Genomic DNA, 18,146 nt, shown 5'->3' on the forward strand with positions numbered 1-18,146 from the left:
ATTATCTTTAGCCTAAGAAGCATAGCACTTACACAAATTCAGTGAGTACAGATCAATATTTTATTTTTTTTCTTTCCTTTTTTTTTTTTTTTTTTGGAGACAGGGTCTCAACCTCCCCACTAGCCTGGGAGTGCAGTGGTGCAATCTTGGCTCACTGCAGCCTCAGCCTCCCGGGCTCAAGGAATCCTCCCACATAGCTGGGACTATAGGCATGTACCACCATGCCTGGCTCATTTTTGTACTTTTTGTAAAGACAGGGTTTTACTGTGTTGCCCAGGCTGGTCTCAAACTCCTGAGTTCAAGTCATTCACTTACCTCAGCCTCTCAAAGTGCTGGGATTACAGGCGTGTACTACTGCACCTGGCCCAGATAAATATTTTCTAATTGGGAGGCTGTACCTTTTACAAGGTAGCAGACAAGAAGCAGAAAATTTGCAGTAGATACCTGTATCATTGTGGTGGTTTTTTGGTGGTTCTTTGGACACATGTAAACAGTGCTATAATAGTGGAGGAGGTGGCTTATTTTTAAGGAAGGGGGTGGTTAATTGCATTAGTGTTATATATTTGGCACACTTTTAATTATTACATTTTGTTTAAAATAAATATGTATTTCTTCTTTCAGATGTTTTTATACCTATGCCAGAGAACTTATTAGTAAACTTAAATGAAAGTAAAGAGGTAAGGCACATTTTCCTACCTGACATGTTTAATTGAAATATTGAAGGAATATGTTTTTGAAATGAACTTTAAGTAAAATTTTGATTATTTCTGTGACATTTCTAAGATGTGTAGCATTTTATATTTGCTCTTATAATTAGATGAACAGCTCTTGAGTTCAACCTTGAGCTGATCATTTTTAAGTCTAATGAAGCAAGTTATTTGTAGTAGGGTAGAAAATAAGCATATTCCATAAAGGAGGAACACTTGAAGGAAATCTGTCTTGTCAGCCATTTGGGAAGTTGGGAGGGTTGCTGAGATAAAGCTTCTGGTCACTACATAGAAGCACATTAGGTAGGCTGCTTTCAGTGCCCTTTGCTTTTCTGATTCACAGAGTGTCATTGGGGTCAGTTCAGAAGAAACTCTTATTACCTGCCTGGAAATTGCCATGAGATAATACAGTGAGAGGTGAACAGAATGTGTCTGAAGGGGGGATGTTGTCTACCCTGTACATGCATATATGCCGTAGGGGTAACATTTTAACTAGCAAGTCTATGGTCTCTGCTGTTGGCAATGGTGACTGTGCCATAGTGCGAAGTATTTTTTTCCCCATTAACTCTATTTGTACAACCTAACCTGTAAAGGTAGTTGTTTTTCTTTTGTAGTGATATTACTAGTTGGCAAAGTTACTGGATATCTTAGATTTGCAACAGGGAAGAGCTAAACTCGCTTTGGAACTTACAAGAATAAAGTATGTAGAGGTGATGGAGAAGGCCATATTTCATGGCATTAAAATACATCAAATCTCTAAACTGTGATGGTTCTTTTGGATACATTTTGGACTTATAGTCTTGCTGGACTACTGCATGTGCAAGAACTGTAAGGCCCAACTTTGATTTGTCTTGCTTGCCAATTTATAATGTTGACTTAAAATGGCTTTCTTGTCATTTGACCAACTTCATTGTTTAGTGTCTGTAGATTCTCTGACCATCATCATGACTCAATGTCTTGTCTATTGTATGAGATACTGACTTAATGTGAAATAAAATTTTAATTATGACACTTGAGTTTTCTTGCTTTGTTTTACAAGCTCGTGCAAGATTTACTGAAAACTTTGCCACAAATGTTTACCAAGACTCTGGAGACCCAGAGTGCCTTGGGTCCTGCACTGCAGGCTGCCTTTAAGCTGATGTCTCCAACTGGTGGTCGAATGTCTGTCTTTCAAACACAACTCCCAACTCTTGGAGTGGGAGCCCTGAAACCACGAGAGGAACCAAACCACAGGTCATCTGCTAAGGTTAGAGAGTCATGAAATGTCTGATAAGGTTTATGCTGGTGTTCCATCCCTGTGACCATAGAACTTGTTTTTTCTTTAAATTTATTTGTCAATTGTTGGGAGGAGGGACTATAAGGAAGTTAACTTTTATGTAGACATTTTTATTTTGTTACATTTTTCTCTACCTGATTCACCCTTCCTTAATTTTTAGTATCTTTAGCAGGCCACTAGCAATTCAGCCTGCCTTCAGAGAGATAGTCTGGGAGACTAACAGAATATGCTTGATAGGGACAAAGAGAACCTGATTGACCAGTTAAGAATAGTCTTATTTGGCTGGGCGTGGTAGCTCACACCTGTAATCCCAACATCTTGGGAGGCCGAGTTGGGCAGTTCATCTGAGGTTGGGAGTTTGAGACCAGCCTGACCAACATGGAGAAACCCCATCTCTACTAAAAATACAAAATTGGCTGGGCGCGGTGGCTCACGCTTGTAATCCCAGCACTTTGGGAGGCTGAGGCGGGCGGATCACGAGGTCAGGAGATCGAGACCACGGTGAAACCCCATCTCTACTAAAAATATAAAAAATTAGCCGGGTGTGGTGGCGGGCGCTGTAATCCCAGCTACTTGGAGAGGCTGAGGCAGGAGAATGGCGTGAACCCGGGAGGCGGAGCTTGCAGTGAGCTGAGATTGCGGCACTGCACTCCAGCACTCCAGCCTGGGTGACAGAGCGAGACTCCGTCTCAAAAAAAAAAAAAAATTAGCTGGGTGTGGTGGCACATGCTTGTAATCCCAGCTACTCAGGAGGCTGAGGCAGGAGAATTGCTTGAACCTGGGAGGCGGAGGTTGCAGTGAGCCAAGATCGCACCATTGCACTCCAGCCTGTGCAACAAGAGCAAAACTCCGTCTCAAAAAAAAAAAAAAAAGAAAAGAAAAAGAGTAGTTGTATTTGGTACATTGATGGCCAAGGTGCTTATGTGCACCTTGTGTGCATAAACTTTAAGGTTTTTGAGACCCGTATTTCCCAAAAGATTATGAAAGAGAGACCTGTGTACTATACTGGGTATGGTATCATTCCTGGAGTCAGACTGCCTAGTCTCACTGTTTATTACACTTGGGAACTTGAAAAATTAATTTCTTTGCCCCTTTGTTTCTTTATATATAAGGTGAAAATAAAGGGTCAAGTGTGGTGGCTTGTGCCTATAATCCCAGCCCTTTGGGAGGCTGAGATGGAAGCATCGGTTGAGCTCAGGAGTTTGAGACCAATCTGGGCAACATAGTGAGACCCTGTCCCTACAAAAATACAAAAAAAATTAGCCAGGTGTGATGCTGAGAGCCTATAGTCCTAGCTACTCTGGAGGCTGAGGTGAGAGGATCACTTGAGCCCAGGAGGCTGCAGTGAGATCGTGCCACTACACTCCAACTTGGGAAACAACAACAACAACAACAACAAAAAAGATGGCTGGGTGTGGTGGTTCATGCCTGTAAGACCAGTGCTTTGGGAGGCTGAGGCAGGCGGATAACCTGAGGTCAGGAGTTCGAGACCAGCCTGGCCAACACGACGAAACCCCATCTCTATTAAAAATACAAAAATTGGCCGGGCATGGTGGCTCACGCCTGTAATTCCAGCACTTTGGGAGGCCAAGGTGGGTGGATCACGAGTTCAGGTGTTCGAGACTAGCCTGACCAACATGGTGAAACCCTGTCTCTACTAAAAATACAAAAATTAACCGGGCGTGGTGGCACACACCTGTAATCCCAGCTACTCAGGAGGCTGAGGCAGGAGAATTGCTTGAACCTGGGAGGTTGCAGTGAGCTGAGATTGTGCCACTGCACTCCAGCCTGAGCGACAGAGTGAGACTCCGTCTCAAAACAACAACAACAAAAAACAAAAATTAGCTGGGGGTGGCGGTGTGCACCTGTAGTCCCAGCTACTTGGGAGGCTGAGGCATGAGAATTGCTTGAACCCGGGAGGCAGTGAGCTGAGATCACGCCACTGCACTCCAGCCTGGGTGACAGAGTGAGACTCTGTCTCAAAAAAAAAAAAAAAAAGAAAGAAAGAAAATAATGATAGTGGCCAGGTGTGGTGGCTCACACCTGTAATCCCAGCACTTTGGGAGGCCGAGGCAGGCGGATCATCTAACTTTGGGAATTCGAGACCAGCCTGAACAACATGATGAAATCCCGTCTCTACTAAAAATACAAAAAACATTAGCTGGGCATGGTGGTGCATGCCTGTAATCCCAGCTACTCGGGAGGCTGAGGCAGGAGAATCGCTAGAAACCGGGAGGCAGAGGTTGCGGTGAGCTGAGATCATGCCATTGCACACCAGCCTGGGCAACTACAGCAAAACTCCCATCTCAAAAAAAAAGAAAAAGAAAAAAAGAAAATGATAGCACTTACCTCTTAGGGTAGTTGAAAGGACTAAGTAAGTATTACATATGAATTGTTTAGAACAGTTTCCAGCATACTGAACATTTAATATATTTTAGTTACAATAAAAAAATCTTTACCAACTATGAAATTATTATAGTAGATATATTTCTTTTTAAAAATAAAGGGAAAAAAACCTACAGAAAATTTTTAAAAAACATATATATATTTTTTCAGACGGAGTCTCGCTCTGTTGCCCAGGCTGGAGTGCAGTGGTGCGATCTCAGCTCACTGCAAGCTCCGCCTCCTGGGTTCATGCCATTCTCCTGCCTCAGCCTCCCGAGTAGCTGGGACTACAGGCACCTGCAACCATGCCTGGCTAATTTTTTGTATTTTTAGTAGAGACGGGGTTTCACCATGTTAGCCAGGATGGTCTCGATCTCCGGCCCTCGTGATCCACCCACCTCGGCCTCCCAAAGTGCTGGGATTACAGGCGTGAGCCACCGCACCCGGCCATTTTTTTTTTTTTTTAAATAAATAAAGTCATGTTGCCCAGGATGGTCTCAAACTCCTGGGCTCAAGCAGTCCACCCGCCTTGGCTTCCCAAAGTGCTAGGATTACAGGTGTGAGCCACCACACCTGGCTGGAACTTACAGAAAATTCCTAAGCAGTACTTGCTTCTTAATGAAAAATCAAGTAGTACCACAAAGGAAAAGGACTTTGTAGAATGCCCAGAAATAATTGCAATTGTTGTTAACATCATGATGTATGTAGATGTGTATTTAGATTTTATGACAATGTAATGATTTTTTAAAATGTCTCTTTATAATTTATTATAAATAGGATATACACATGACACCATCCACTGACTTCTATAAGAAATTAGCCTTGGACTGTTCTGGTCAGCAAGTTGCTGTTGACTTATTCCTTCTCAGTGGACAGTATTCTGATTTGGCTTCTCTGGGTAAGTTCTTCGTAATGATTTTTTTTTTCCGTTAAATGAATATCAAAATGGTCCTTATATGATAGTGTTCTAAATATAGAACAAAGTTAAAGAATATGTATGCCCTTGGGAAAGTTAATCAGTCAGTTTAGTCTATTAAAAACCTTATAGTCTTCTACTCTAAACATTTAGTAATAGAGAAATTTCTATTCTACTATTTAAAGGAATGCAGGCCGGGTATGATGGCTCATGCCTGTAATCCTAACAATTTGTGAGGCCTGTGCAGGAGGATTGCTTGAGCCCAGGAGTTTGAGACCAACCTGGGCAACATAGGAAGACCCTGTATTTGCAAATAATATGTATATTTTTTTAAATAAAAAACTAGCCAGACATGGTGGCGCACACCTGTGGTCCCAGCTGCCTGGAAGGCTGAGGTGGGAAGAGTGCTTGAGGTGGAGAGGTCAAGGCTGCAGTGAGCCCCATGGTATCACTACTGCACTCCAGCCTGGGTGACAGAATGGGACTCTGTCTCAAAAAAAGGGAATAAAATCTCCTTTCTGACAGTAGTTTACCTTGGAAAGTTAAAGAAAGATTGATTCCAATGTCTTTAGTTACTTTGGTGTAGTAGAAATAGTTAACGGCACAGTTTAAAACAGTGTGTGTTCTCTTCCAGGTTGTATTTCTCGGTATTCAGCAGGTAGTGTCTATTACTATCCCTCTTACCATCATCAGCACAACCCAGTCCAAGTACAGAAATTACAGAAGGAACTACAGAGATACCTTACTCGGAAGATTGGCTTTGAGGCAGTCATGAGGATTCGGTGCACCAAAGGTAGGAATATTTTTTTTTTGCGTAGGACTGAATAATATTTTTGGTTTCAGTAAATGTACATGTTTTTATCTGGTCTTATAAGATTGCCCTTCTGAGATACTTTGCCTACTCTGGAATATGCAATTAAGAGGAGAGAAGAAACACTGTAACCAAAAAAAGGGGGCCTATTGAGAATATACTCAAAAGCACTGACTTATATATTTTTAAATAGAGAATTTTATGGTGTGTGAATTATCTCAGTTTTTTAAAAAAGACCTTATCTCCGGCTGGGCACAGTGGCTCATGCCTGTAATTCCAGCACTTTGGGAGGCCAAGGCTGGTGGATCGCTTGAGCCCAGGAATTAGAGACGAGCCTGGACAACATTGCAAAATGATGTCTCTACGAAAAATACAAAAACTTAGCTGAGCGTGGTGGTGCACGTCTGTAGTCCCAGCTTCTTAGGAGGCTGAGGTGGGAGGATTGTTGGGGCCTGGCCTGGGAGTCAGGTTGCAGTGAGCAGAGATCACACCACTGCACTCCGGCCTGGGCAACACTGTCTCCAAAAAAAAAAAAAAGAAGAAGATAGAGTCTTGTTTTTTTTTTTTTTTTTTTGAGATGGTATATTGCTCTGTTGCCCAGGCTGGTGTGCAGTGACACAATCTTGGCTAACTGCAACCTCCACCTCTCGAGTTCAAGTGATTCTCCCTGCTTCAGCCTCCCGAGTAGCTGGGATTATAGGTGCGTGCCACCATGCCCGGCTAATTTTTGTATTTTTAGTAGAGACAGGGTTACACCATGTTGGCCAGGCTGGTCTCAAACTCCTGACCTCAGATGATCTGCCCACCTCAGCCTCCCAAGGCACTGGGATTACAGGTGTGAGTGACCGCACACAGCCTAGACCCTTTTTTGACAGAGTCTCATTCTGTCGCCCAGGCTGGAGTGCAGTGGTGCAATCACAGCTCACTGGAGTCTCCACCTCCCTGACTCAAGTGATCCTCCCACCTCAGCTTTCCTAGTAGCTGAGACTGCAGGTGTGAGCCACCACACCTGGCTAATTTTTTATTTTTTATTTTGTAGAGACTGGGTCTCCCTATGTTGCCCAGGCTGGTTGCAAGCTCGTGGGCTCACGTGATCTTCCTGCCTTAGCCTCCCAAAGTGTTAGGATTACAGGCATGAGCCACCACACCCAGCCACAGATCTTGCTTTTAAACTTTTTTTTTTTTACTTGTAAAATATATATAACATAAGCTTTACCATTTTATCCTTTTTTTTTTTTTGAGACGGACTGTCTCGCTCTGTCGTCCAGGCTGGAGTGCAGTGGCACGATCTCAGCTCACTGCAAGCTCCGCCTCCTGGGTTCATGCCATTCTCCTGCCTCAGCCTCCCAAGTAGCTGGGACTACAGGCGCCTGCCACCATGCCCAGCTAATTTTTTGTATTTTTTAGTAGAGACGGGGTTTCACCATGTTAGCCAGGATGGTCTCGATCTCCTGATCTGGTGATCCGTCCGCCTCGGCCTCCCAAAGTGCTGGGATTACAGGCATGAGCTACCGCACCTGGCCCATTTTATCCATTTTTTAATTGTACAGTGGCATCAAGTATGTTTTCACTGTGCAACTATTTATTTCCAAAAGTGGGGGATCTCTTAGTTTGTACTCTCTTTTTTTTTTTTTTTTTTTTTGAGCCAGAGTTTCACTCTCTCGCCCAGGCTGGAGTATAATGGTGTGATCTAGGCTCACTGCAACCTCCATCTCCCAGGTTCAAGCAATTCTGCCTGCCTCAGCCTCCTGAGTAACTGGGATTACAGGTGCCTGACACTACGCCTGACTAATTTTTGTATTTTTAGTAGAAACGGGGTTTTGCCATGTTGGCCAGGCTGGTCTCAAACTCCTGACCTCAGGTGATCCGCCTACCTTGGCCTCCCTAAATGCTGGGATTACAGGTATGAGCCACCGCACCCAGCCTGTACTCTTATTTTTAGTTTTTCATTTCTCCACATTATCAACCTGGTGGGTTTTTTTTTTAAGGTGGGTTTTTTTTTCCATTGCTGCTGCACAAATTGAGTTTTTATTTAAATAAATATTATTGCTCTGTAAGGGGGTGTGGAGCACAGATTGAGTTTTTATTTAAATAAATATTGCTCTGTAATGGGGTGTAGAGTGGTAATTTTCTTTCTTCTTCTCTCTCTTTTTTCTTTTTTTGGAGACAGAGTGTTGCTCTGTCCCCCTGGCTGGAGTGCAGTGGCATGATCATAGCTCACTGCAGCCTCAACTCCTGGGCTCAAGCAATCCTCTTAGCTCAGCCTCCCGAATAACTGGGACCACAGGCGCATGCCACCACGCCTAGCTAATTTTTAATTTTTCTGTAGAGACAGGGTCTTACTTTGTTACACAGGCTGGTTTCAAACTCCTGGACTTAAGCAATCCTACACCTCAGCCTCCCAAAGTGCTGGGATTACAGGTGTGAATCACCACGCCCAGTATAATAATATTCTTTTCAATGGAAAAATTATTTATATGAAATCTATAACAAAAAAAAAAAGATAAAGATCCACTAACCTGTTCCATTACACATTGAAATCTGTTGGTCAAACCATGAGCAAGATGAAGGTCTCTCTTATCTATCCTTCACTATAATTAGAATTTATTAATTCTAATAGTTTTTATTTATTTATTTTTTTTACTTTATTTTTTTTTTTCTGAGACCACATCTTGCTCTTTTGTCCAGGCTGGAGTTCAGTGGCACGATCTCCGCTCACTGCAAGCTCCGCCTCCTGGGTTCACGCCATTCTCCTGCCTCACCCTCCCAAGTAGCTGGAACTACAGGCGCCTGCTACCACTCCCAGCTAATTTTTTGTATTTTTGGTAGAGACAGGGTTTCACCATGTTAGCCAGGATGGTCTTGATCTCCTGACCTCGTGATCCATCCGCCTCGGCCTCCCAAAGTGCTGGGATTACAGGCGTGAGCCACCGCGCCTGGACTGTATTTTTAGTAGAGGTGGTGTTTCGCCATGTTGGCCAGGCTGGTCTCGAACTCCTGATGTCAAGTGATCCACCCGCCTCGGCCTCCCAAAGTGCTGGGATTACAGGCATGAGCTACCATGCCTGGCCTAGTTTTTATTTTATAATTTTTAATTAAAATATGGAACACTTCACGAATTTACGTGTCATCCTTGCACTGGGGCCATGCTAATCTTCTCTGTATGGTTCTAATTTTAGTATACATGCTGTCGAAGTGAGTACCTAATAGTTTTTTAGTGTTTATGTTTTAAAGGGTATATTTGTTGGATCCCATTCATTGGAGACTGACAGACCTCAAAAATGTTTATTTCTGCAGATACCTGTTATAAATTAAGGGAAGTGTACATCCTAATGTGCTTTTAAGACCTTTTCTACTTGTCAAGACAGAGGCTATTTTTATATGTACCTTATTTTGCATAAACAGCTTTGGGATATGCCAGGCAACTCCTTTGCCCTCTTTTTTTTTTTTTTTGAGACGGAGTCTCGGTCTGTCGTCCAGGCTGGAGTGTAATGGCGCAGTCTCGGCTCACTGCAACCTTCGCCTCCCGGGGTCCAGTGATTCTCCTGCCTCAGCCTTCCTAGTAGCTGGGATTACAGGCACGTGCTACCATGCCCAGCTAATTTTTGTATTTTTAGTAGAGACGGAGTTTCACCATGTCGGTGAGGCTGGTCTCGAACTCCTGACCTCATGATCTGCCTGCCTTGTCCTCCCAAAGTGCTGGGATTACAGGTGTGAGCCACTGCAGCCCACCACCCTCTTTCTAGAGTGCTTAATTTAATAAAGCTTTGTGGTTAGCTTGCTTAGGTTTCTCTTTTTATTTTATTATGATAAATTCACTACAGATCAAATACATACTCTAGAAAAGTTAACACAGAAAAGATAATGTACAAAAAGATATAAAATGAGAACTCAAGCATAACTTCTGTTCCACTCTACAGTTAATCATATACCCTTCAGAAACTTTCCCATGGCATTTATAAACATATATTTTGGCCTTAACTTCAAATAAAAGCAGTGAGGAATTATACCTGGCTTTTTTATTTTTATCACAATATCTTGAAAACCTTTCTATTTTTATACGTACAGACACACATTCTCCTTTTTCTTTCTTTCTTTATTAATGTTGTATATTTCTTTTTAAGAGACAGGGTCTCACTATGTTGCCCAGGCTTGCTTTCAACTCTTGGGCTTAAGCAATCTTCCTGCTTCAGCCTCCTGAATACCTGGGATTACAGGCACATGCCACCATGCCCAGCATTCTTTTTCATCCTGATTACTGTTTTTAAGTTGGTTTTTATTTCACAAGCAACATGTGCATCTGTTTTTCTTGTAAAAAATAAAAACATTATTGATAAAGCTAAAGTCTTCCTGTATCAGCTTGCATGTGTATGCGACACATACACTTTCACTTCATTTTTATGTAGTTAAAAATGGTATGTATCAGAATTTCTTATTAAAAATGGTATATATCACTTGGTATATACCGAATTTCCTATACATTTGCATACTTAGGTACATCTCCATGGAAAATGTATCTTATGGTCGATTTACATAAGTGACATATTGTATGTATTTTTATTCAATAAACCTTGAAGATTCATTAATTTTAGATCATATAAATCCATCACATTAATTTAAACTTCTGCCTATTCTACCTAGTATTCAGCAGACTGAACAAATCACAGTTTAGTTTTTGTTTGTTTGTTGTTGTTGTTGTTGTTTTTTGAGACAGAGTCTCACTCTGTCACCTAGGCTGGAGTGCAGTGGCGCGATCTTGGCTCACTGCAACCTCTGCCTCTCAGGTTCAAGCGATTCTCCTGCCTCAACCTCCCGAGTAGCTGGGACTACAGGCGTGTGCCACCATGCCCGGCTAATTTTTGTATTTTTAGTAGAGACAGGATTTCACCATGTTGCCAAGGCTGGTCTCGAACTCCTGACCTCAAGTGATCTGCCTGCACCAGCCTCCGAAAGTGTTGGGATTACAGGCATGAGCCATTGTGCCTGGCCTAGTTTTTCTACTGATACCCATTGAAGGTATTTCTAAATTTTTTTTGCTGTGACACACCAGTCTACTTGAAATTTTTCTGCATGTGTGAATTTGGCACTTAAATGAGTATATCTGTAGGACACATTCTTTGATATGGGATTGCTAAAGTCAAAATAAGTATCTAGAATTTTGATAGATACTGCCAAATTATCGTCCAAAAATGTTTTTTGTGTTTCTTTTTGAGACAGAGTCTTGCTCTGTCGCCCAGGCTGGAGTGCAGTGGCGCAATCTTAGCTCACTGCAACCTCTGCCTCCCGGGTTCAAGCAATTCTCCTGCCTCAACCTCCTGAGTAGCTGGGATTGCAGGCGCCTGCCACCATGTTCGGCTAATTTTTGTGTTTTTGGTAGAGACAGGGTTTCACCATGTTATTGGCCAGGCTGATCTCAAACTGACCTCAGGCGATCCACCCACCTTGGCCTCCCAAAGTGCTGGGATTACAGGCGTGAGCTACCGCACCTGACCCAAAAATGTTTTTTGAAAATTAGTATCCCCACCTTCATTTCAAAAGCCATCTGTTATTCCTTAACCTCACTAAGTACTGTGTATTATCTAGATTTCTTTACTTTTTGCCAATCTGATAAGTAACTAGGATAAAATGTAAATATCAGTATGTAGGTATATAAAAATAATTTTGTTACCTTTTTCTCTTCTAGGTCTTTCCATTCATACTTTCCATGGAAACTTCTTTGTTAGGTCAACCGACTTACTGTCTTTGCCTAACGTCAACCCAGACGCTGGGTATGCAGTACAGATGTCAGTGGAAGAGAGTCTTACTGACACTCAGTTGGTTTCTTTTCAGTCAGCACTCTTGTATACATCCAGCAAAGGTAAATTGTTTGTTTTTTTTTGGATTTCAAATGTTCAAATATTGTCTGGATTTCAAATGTCAAAATGGGCTATAAAATACATGTAGCATATCTTATGTGTGCTAACTTAAAATTGCTGTTTTTATTTATTTATTTATTTATTTATTTATTTATGTAGAGACAGAGTCTCACTCTGTCACCAGGCTGGAGTGCAGTGGCGCAGTCTCTGCTCACTGCAACCTCTGCCTCCTGGGTTCAAGTGATTCTCCTGCCTCAGCCACCCGAGTAATTGGGAGTACAGGTGTGCGCCACCACATCCAGCTAATTTTTGTAATTTTAGTAGAGATGGAGTTTTGCCATGCTGGCCAGGATGGTGTGAATCTCTTGACCTCGTGATCTGCCCGCCTCTGCCTCCCAACGTGCTGGGATTACAGGCATGAGCCACTGCGCCCAGCCCTTAAAATTTTCATTACCAAAAGCAGTAAACCAACTAAAAAGTTCAAAAAAGAGATTTTTAAAAATTTAGCATATTGTCATTTGAATGCGATCCCTGTTCATTTAGTAATAACCTGAATGAAAAGAATTTTATAGTTAAAACAATTAAAAGAAGTAGGGTCAGGTGTGGTGGTCTGTAAACCTAGCACTTTGGAAGGCTGACTAGGGAGGATCACTTGAGGCCAGGAGTTCAAGACCAGCCTGGACAACATAGTGAGACACTGTCTCTAAAAAAATATTTTTTTAATTAGCCAGGTATAGTGGCACACACTGGTAGTCCTACCTACTTGGGAGGCTGAGTAGGGAGGATTGTTTGAGCCCAGGAGTTTGAGGCTGCAGTGAGTTATGATTGTGCCACTGCAGTCCTGCCTGGGCAACAGAATGAGACCTTGTTTCTAAAAAAAAAAAAAAAGGATGAAATTTTTAATATTTATGTACTTATTTATTTTTAATAGAGATAGGGTCTTACTATGTTGTTCAGCCCTGTCTTGAACTCCTGGCCTCAGGTAATCCTCCCACCTTAGCCTCCCAAAGTGCTGGGTGCTGGGATTACAGGTGTGAGCCACTGTGTCTGGCCAGTATAAAACGTTTGATACTGTCTCTGCTTACTATGTAACTATACTACCTGGTTCTAAATCGAAAAGAAGTTATTTATATTTATATTTATATATATATATATATATATTTTTTTTTTTTTAATTAATTTATTTTTTTTTAAGAGATGGAGTCTCACTGTATTGCCCAGGCTGCACTTAAACTCCTGAGCTCAAGGGATCCTCCTGTCTCTGCCTCTGGAGTAGGTGGGACTACAGGGATGCACCACTGCACCCAGCTAAGAAGTGATTTTTCCAAGTGACTTTAACATAATCTTTTGTTTTATATAGTTGCCCCTCACTGTTGTTTGTGTATTTTCCCCAAAGGCGAAAGAAGAATTCGTGTTCATACTTTGTGTTTGCCAGTAGTTTCGACTCTGAATGATGTCTTTCTTGGAGCTGATGTTCAAGCAATTTCAGGGTTATTGGCCAATATGGGTAAGAGTTGTTATCTGTTATAAATATCTTACAAGTAATAACATTAGGCACATCCAAACAGTTTTGTTTTCCTTTAAATAGTTAGCTTTATAGTTTGAATGTTTTAGATCCCCTGGGTGCCTGCTAAGTAACTATTTGAAAAGATCTGCTGCAGATAATCTTATCTTTTTTGTTTGTTTATTTAAACAAATTTATTGAGATATAATTACATACCATACCACTTCACCCAGTTTAATTGATAATTCATTTGTTTTTAGTGTTTTTACAGAGTTGTACAGCTATCACCACAATCTAATTTTATAACATTTCTATTGTCTCAAGAGGAACCTCATGCTCATTAGCAGTTACTGCCCACTTCTTCCTCCCTCCCTTACTGGCCTTAAGTAACCACTAAACTACTTTCTGTCTCTATATATTTATATATTTGTCTACACTGAACTTAGCTATATCTTTTTTTTTTTTTTTTTGAGATGGAGTCTCGCTCTTATTGCCCAGGCTGGAGTGTAATGGCGCAATCTTGGCTTACCACAACCTCTATCTCCTGGGTTCAAGCGATTCTCCTGCCTCAGCGTCCCGAGTAGCTGGGATTACAGGCATGCGCCACCATGCCCAGCTAATTTTTGTATTTTTAGTAGAGACAGGGTTTCTTCATGTGGTCGGGCTGGTCTTGAACTCCCGACCTCATGTAATCCACCCGCTTTGGCCTCCCAAAGTGTTGGGATTACAGGCGTGAGCCACCGTGCCTGGCCAACTATATCTTATGTAATGGTTAATATTAGTGCTGTTTAATACTCTTTTTATGAGAAGCAGTGTACCATAAAGATCATTAGACTTAGAGTCATGGAATTTGGGATTGAAAACCAGTTTACCACCATACATTTGTTTGCAGCCAAATCATGTGAGCCAATAGGAAACTTACTGATATCTTCACGTATTTATTTCCATCTCAGATACAATTGTCCTCTTGATTTTTTTGGTTCCTTTTCAAATACATACAGCTTAATAACATCATTTTGATTCTTGTGGTCTTTCTACTTGAGGGAAGACTTCAGTCGGTCCATTTTCTTTCTTTTGTTTTTGAAAACAGTGTCTTGCTCTGTCACCCAGGGTGGAGTGCAATGGTGTGGTTCTAGCTCACTGCAGCCTTTACCTCCTGGGCTCAAGGGATCCTCCCACCTCAGCCTCCTGAATAGCTGGGATTACAGGCCCACACCACCACACCCAGCTAACTAACATTCATTCATTCACTCATTCATTTATTTAGTTATTTAGAGATGGAGTCTCATTCACCCTCCCAGGATGGAGTGCAGTGGCACAGTCTCAGCTCACTGCAACCTCTGACCCCAAAGTTCAAGTGATTCTCCTGCCTCAGCCTCCCAAGTAGCTGGGACTACAGGCGCACGACACCACACCCAGCTAATTTTTGTATTTTTAGTAGAGACGGGGTTTCACCATGTTGGCCAGGATGGTCTCAATCTCTTGACCTCGTGATCCACCCACCTCGGCCTCCCAAAGTGCTGGGATTACAGGCATGAGCCACCACGCCTGGCCCTCAACCAGCTAACTTTAAAAAAAATTTTTTTAGAGACAGAGTCTCACCATGTTGCCCAGGCTGATCTTGAATCCTGGGCTCAAGCAATCCTCCTGCTTTGGCCTACCAAACTGTTGAGATTACAGCTGTGAGTCACCACACCCGGCCTCAGTAGGTCCATTTGCTTCAAACTTAATTCTGTCTGTATCAGGAATAGTTACCCACTTTCTTGAATTTCCTATTGGGAAAAATGTTTTACGTGGAGCCTGGTAAAGGATTTACCCACACTTTAGTCTTTTATGTTGTTAGATGTTCAAGATTGTGACCTATGAAATTTGAAGATCACTGCCTTTATTTTATTTATTTATTTTTTTTTTTTGAGGTGGAGTCTCACTCTATCGCCCAGGGTGGAGTGCAGTGGCGTGATCTCGGCTCACTGCAACCTCCACCTCCAGGGTTCACGCCATTCGCCTGCCTCAGCCTCCCCAGTAGCTGGGACTACAGGCGCCCGCCATCACACCCGGCTAATTTTTTGTATTTTTAGTAGAGACGGGGTTTCACCATGTTAGCCAGGGTGGTCTCGATCTCCTGACCTCGTGATCCACCCGCCTCGGCCTGCCAAAGTGCTGGGATTACAGGCGTGAGCCACCGCGCCTGGCCTATTTTTTTGTTTAAGTTACTTTTTTTTGTAACTATGATTATTATTATTATTGACAGCAGTAACTATTAGATGGGTTTTGTGGATTTTTGATAAACTGTCACAACTTTGTAAGTATTGGTTCTGCTACCATATTGAATGTATTTTTAGTGCCACATGGATGGAGTTTAGTTATTTGAGAAGTCTTCAATTATGCTTTTTTTTTAAGTATTGAAAGAATGTTTTTATGCAGAAATGCGTATAAACAGAGTGTCATGGCAAATGATGAAAATCTGTCTAAATAAGAGGCCAACTTGGTGAAACCCTATTTCTACTAAAAATACAAAAAAACAAAACAAAACAAAACAAAAAAATTAGTCAGGTATAGTGGCACATGTCTGTAGTCCCAGCTACTCAGGAGGCTGAGGCAGGATAATTGCTTGAACCTGGGAGGCGGAGGATGCAGTGAGCCAAGACCACACCACCGCACTCCAGCCTGGGCGACAGAGCGAAACTCTGTCTCTAAATAAATTAATAAATAACTCTAAGAGCTCTTTCTGTAAATGTAAAATAAAAACTCTGGGCTGGGCATGGTGGTTTGTGCCTATAATCCCAACACTTTGGGAGGCTGAGGCAGGAGGACTGCTTGAGGCCAGGAGTTTGAGATCAGCCTGGGCAACATAGGGAGACTTGGTACAAAAAAATTGTTTTAATTAATTAAAATTAAAATTTCAAAAGAACTCTGTTTCGAAACATTGTGCATTTCAGGAAACACAGGAAAGCATTGTGTGTTTAATTGCAATGTTTTTCTTTCTCAATGGTATATAAAGTGTTGGATTACAATCAGTAGCATAACTGAGGCTCAGGAAGGTTAAGTTACTTGCCAAATCATTATACAGCTAGGAAATAGCAGAGCAGCATTTCAACAGAGGTTGGCTCAGTTCTCCAGACCATGCTTTTAGCTGCTGTGTTTTGTCTCATTTGTGTATGTAGTAAATTGGAGAGATACTTGGTATAGTTTTTAAAAATTATCTCTTCTATCCTTAACAGTGGACTAGCTAAACTTCTATCATATTTCTTTTTTGTCCTTACCCTCACCTTGCTTAGCTGTTGACAGATCTATGACTGCCAGTCTGAGTGACGCTCGGGATGCTCTAGTGAATGCAGTCATTGACTCCCTTTCAGCTTACCGTTCTTCAGTCTTAAGTAACCAGCAGCCTGGACTCATGGTTCCTTTTTCTTTGCGGCTTTTCCCACTTTTTGTGTTGGCTCTCCTTAAACAGGTAAGAAAAACAGATATAGAAACTAACACAATGATGGCCAGGCACTGTGGCCTACACCTGCAATCCCAGCACTTTGGGTGGCTGACGTGGGTGGATTGCTTGAGTCCAGGCATTTGAGACCAGCCTGGGCAATATGGTGAAACCTGGTCTCTGCAAAAAATACAAAAAAACTAGCCAGGTGTGGTGGTGCACACCTGTAGTCAGTCCCAGCTACTTGGGATGCTGAGGTGGGAGGATGGTTGAGTCCAGGAGGCGGAGGTTGTAGTGAGCCCATATCGTGCCACTGTACTCCAGCTTGGGTGACAGAGCCAGACTCTGTCTCAAAATAAACAAAAAGAAAGAAACGAACACGATGGAAACATCAAAAGGCAAAATTTTTATCCTATGAATCCCTAAACATTGTATATGTAACTTTATGCTGGTTAAATTTTTGACGACAGGTACCTTACCTCTTATTTGAACTTTGAAAAGTTTAATAACCAAAGAAACTTAGAGAAAACTGATTCAGAGCAAGTTCCTTGTTCATAAGATGCTTCTCTAAGCAAAGTATTCAGTGACATTATAAAAAATTCAACTGATAATCAGTTTTCCAGAACAAGAATTGTATATTATATTGCTGATGCAAGAAGGCACACATGCACTGTGTGTTCTCACTTATATGTGAAAGCTAAAAAATCAAACACACGGAAGCAGAAAGCAGAATGGTGGTTACTAGAGGCTGGGTGGTGGGGCAGGAATGGGGAGATATTGAACAAAAGGTACAGTGTTTTAGTTAGGAGGAATAAGTGATAACTATTTGAGGTTATGGATATGTTACCTAGCTTCATTAAATCATTCCACATTGTATACTATATCATAGCATCCCTTTATACCTCATAAATATATATAATTAGAATTTTTCACCAACAAAAAATTTAACTTTTTTTTAAAAAGAAGAGACCATACATGTTATTTTATTTTATTTTATTTTATTGGCTCTTTCCTGTCCCTACAGAATTTCAGCAACATTACACTTCTCTTTTCTTTTTTGAGACAGAGTCTTGCTCTGTCACCCAGGCTGGAGTGCAGTAGCACGATCTTGGCTCACTGCAACCTCCGCCTACCGGGTTCAAGCGATTCTCCTGCCTCAGCCTCCTGAGTAGCTGGGATTACAAGTGTGTGCCACTATATCCGACTAATTTTGTATTTTTAGTAGAGACAAGGTTTCACCATGTTGGTCAGGCTTGTCTCAAACTCCT

General features: G+C 41.8%; 1 protein-coding gene and 1 pseudogene across 7 annotated transcripts in view; one reads left to right on the forward strand and one right to left on the reverse strand.

Moving 5' to 3' along the window:
• SEC24A (SEC24 homolog A, COPII component) overlaps positions 1-18,146 on the forward strand; it is a 79,528-nt gene that overhangs the window by 43,599 nt on the left and 17,783 nt on the right. For 4 of the 7 annotated variants that reach the window (XM_017008961.3, XM_047416648.1, NM_021982.3 and 1 more), the window contains 7 exons: positions 622-677; positions 1,747-1,953; positions 5,146-5,266; positions 5,919-6,077; positions 11,779-11,952; positions 13,347-13,457; positions 16,733-16,908. In XM_017008961.3, the coding sequence (XP_016864450.1) occupies positions 622-677; positions 1,747-1,953; positions 5,146-5,266; positions 5,919-6,077; positions 11,779-11,952; positions 13,347-13,457; positions 16,733-16,908 (1,004 nt within the window). Of the gene's footprint in view, positions 1-621; positions 678-1,050; positions 1,717-1,746; positions 1,954-5,145; positions 5,267-5,918; positions 6,078-11,778; positions 11,953-13,346; positions 13,458-16,732; positions 16,909-18,146 lie in introns of those variants that run through there. The other 3 variants (NM_001252231.2, XM_017008963.3, XM_047416649.1) reach the window with 2 other exon arrangements.
• RNU6-1164P (RNA, U6 small nuclear 1164, pseudogene) lies at positions 9,192-9,298 on the reverse strand (annotated as a pseudogene).

Source organism: Homo sapiens, chromosome 5, assembly GCF_000001405.40.
Source record: "Homo sapiens chromosome 5, GRCh38.p14 Primary Assembly".
NCBI lineage: Eukaryota > Metazoa > Chordata > Mammalia > Primates > Hominidae > Homo > Homo sapiens.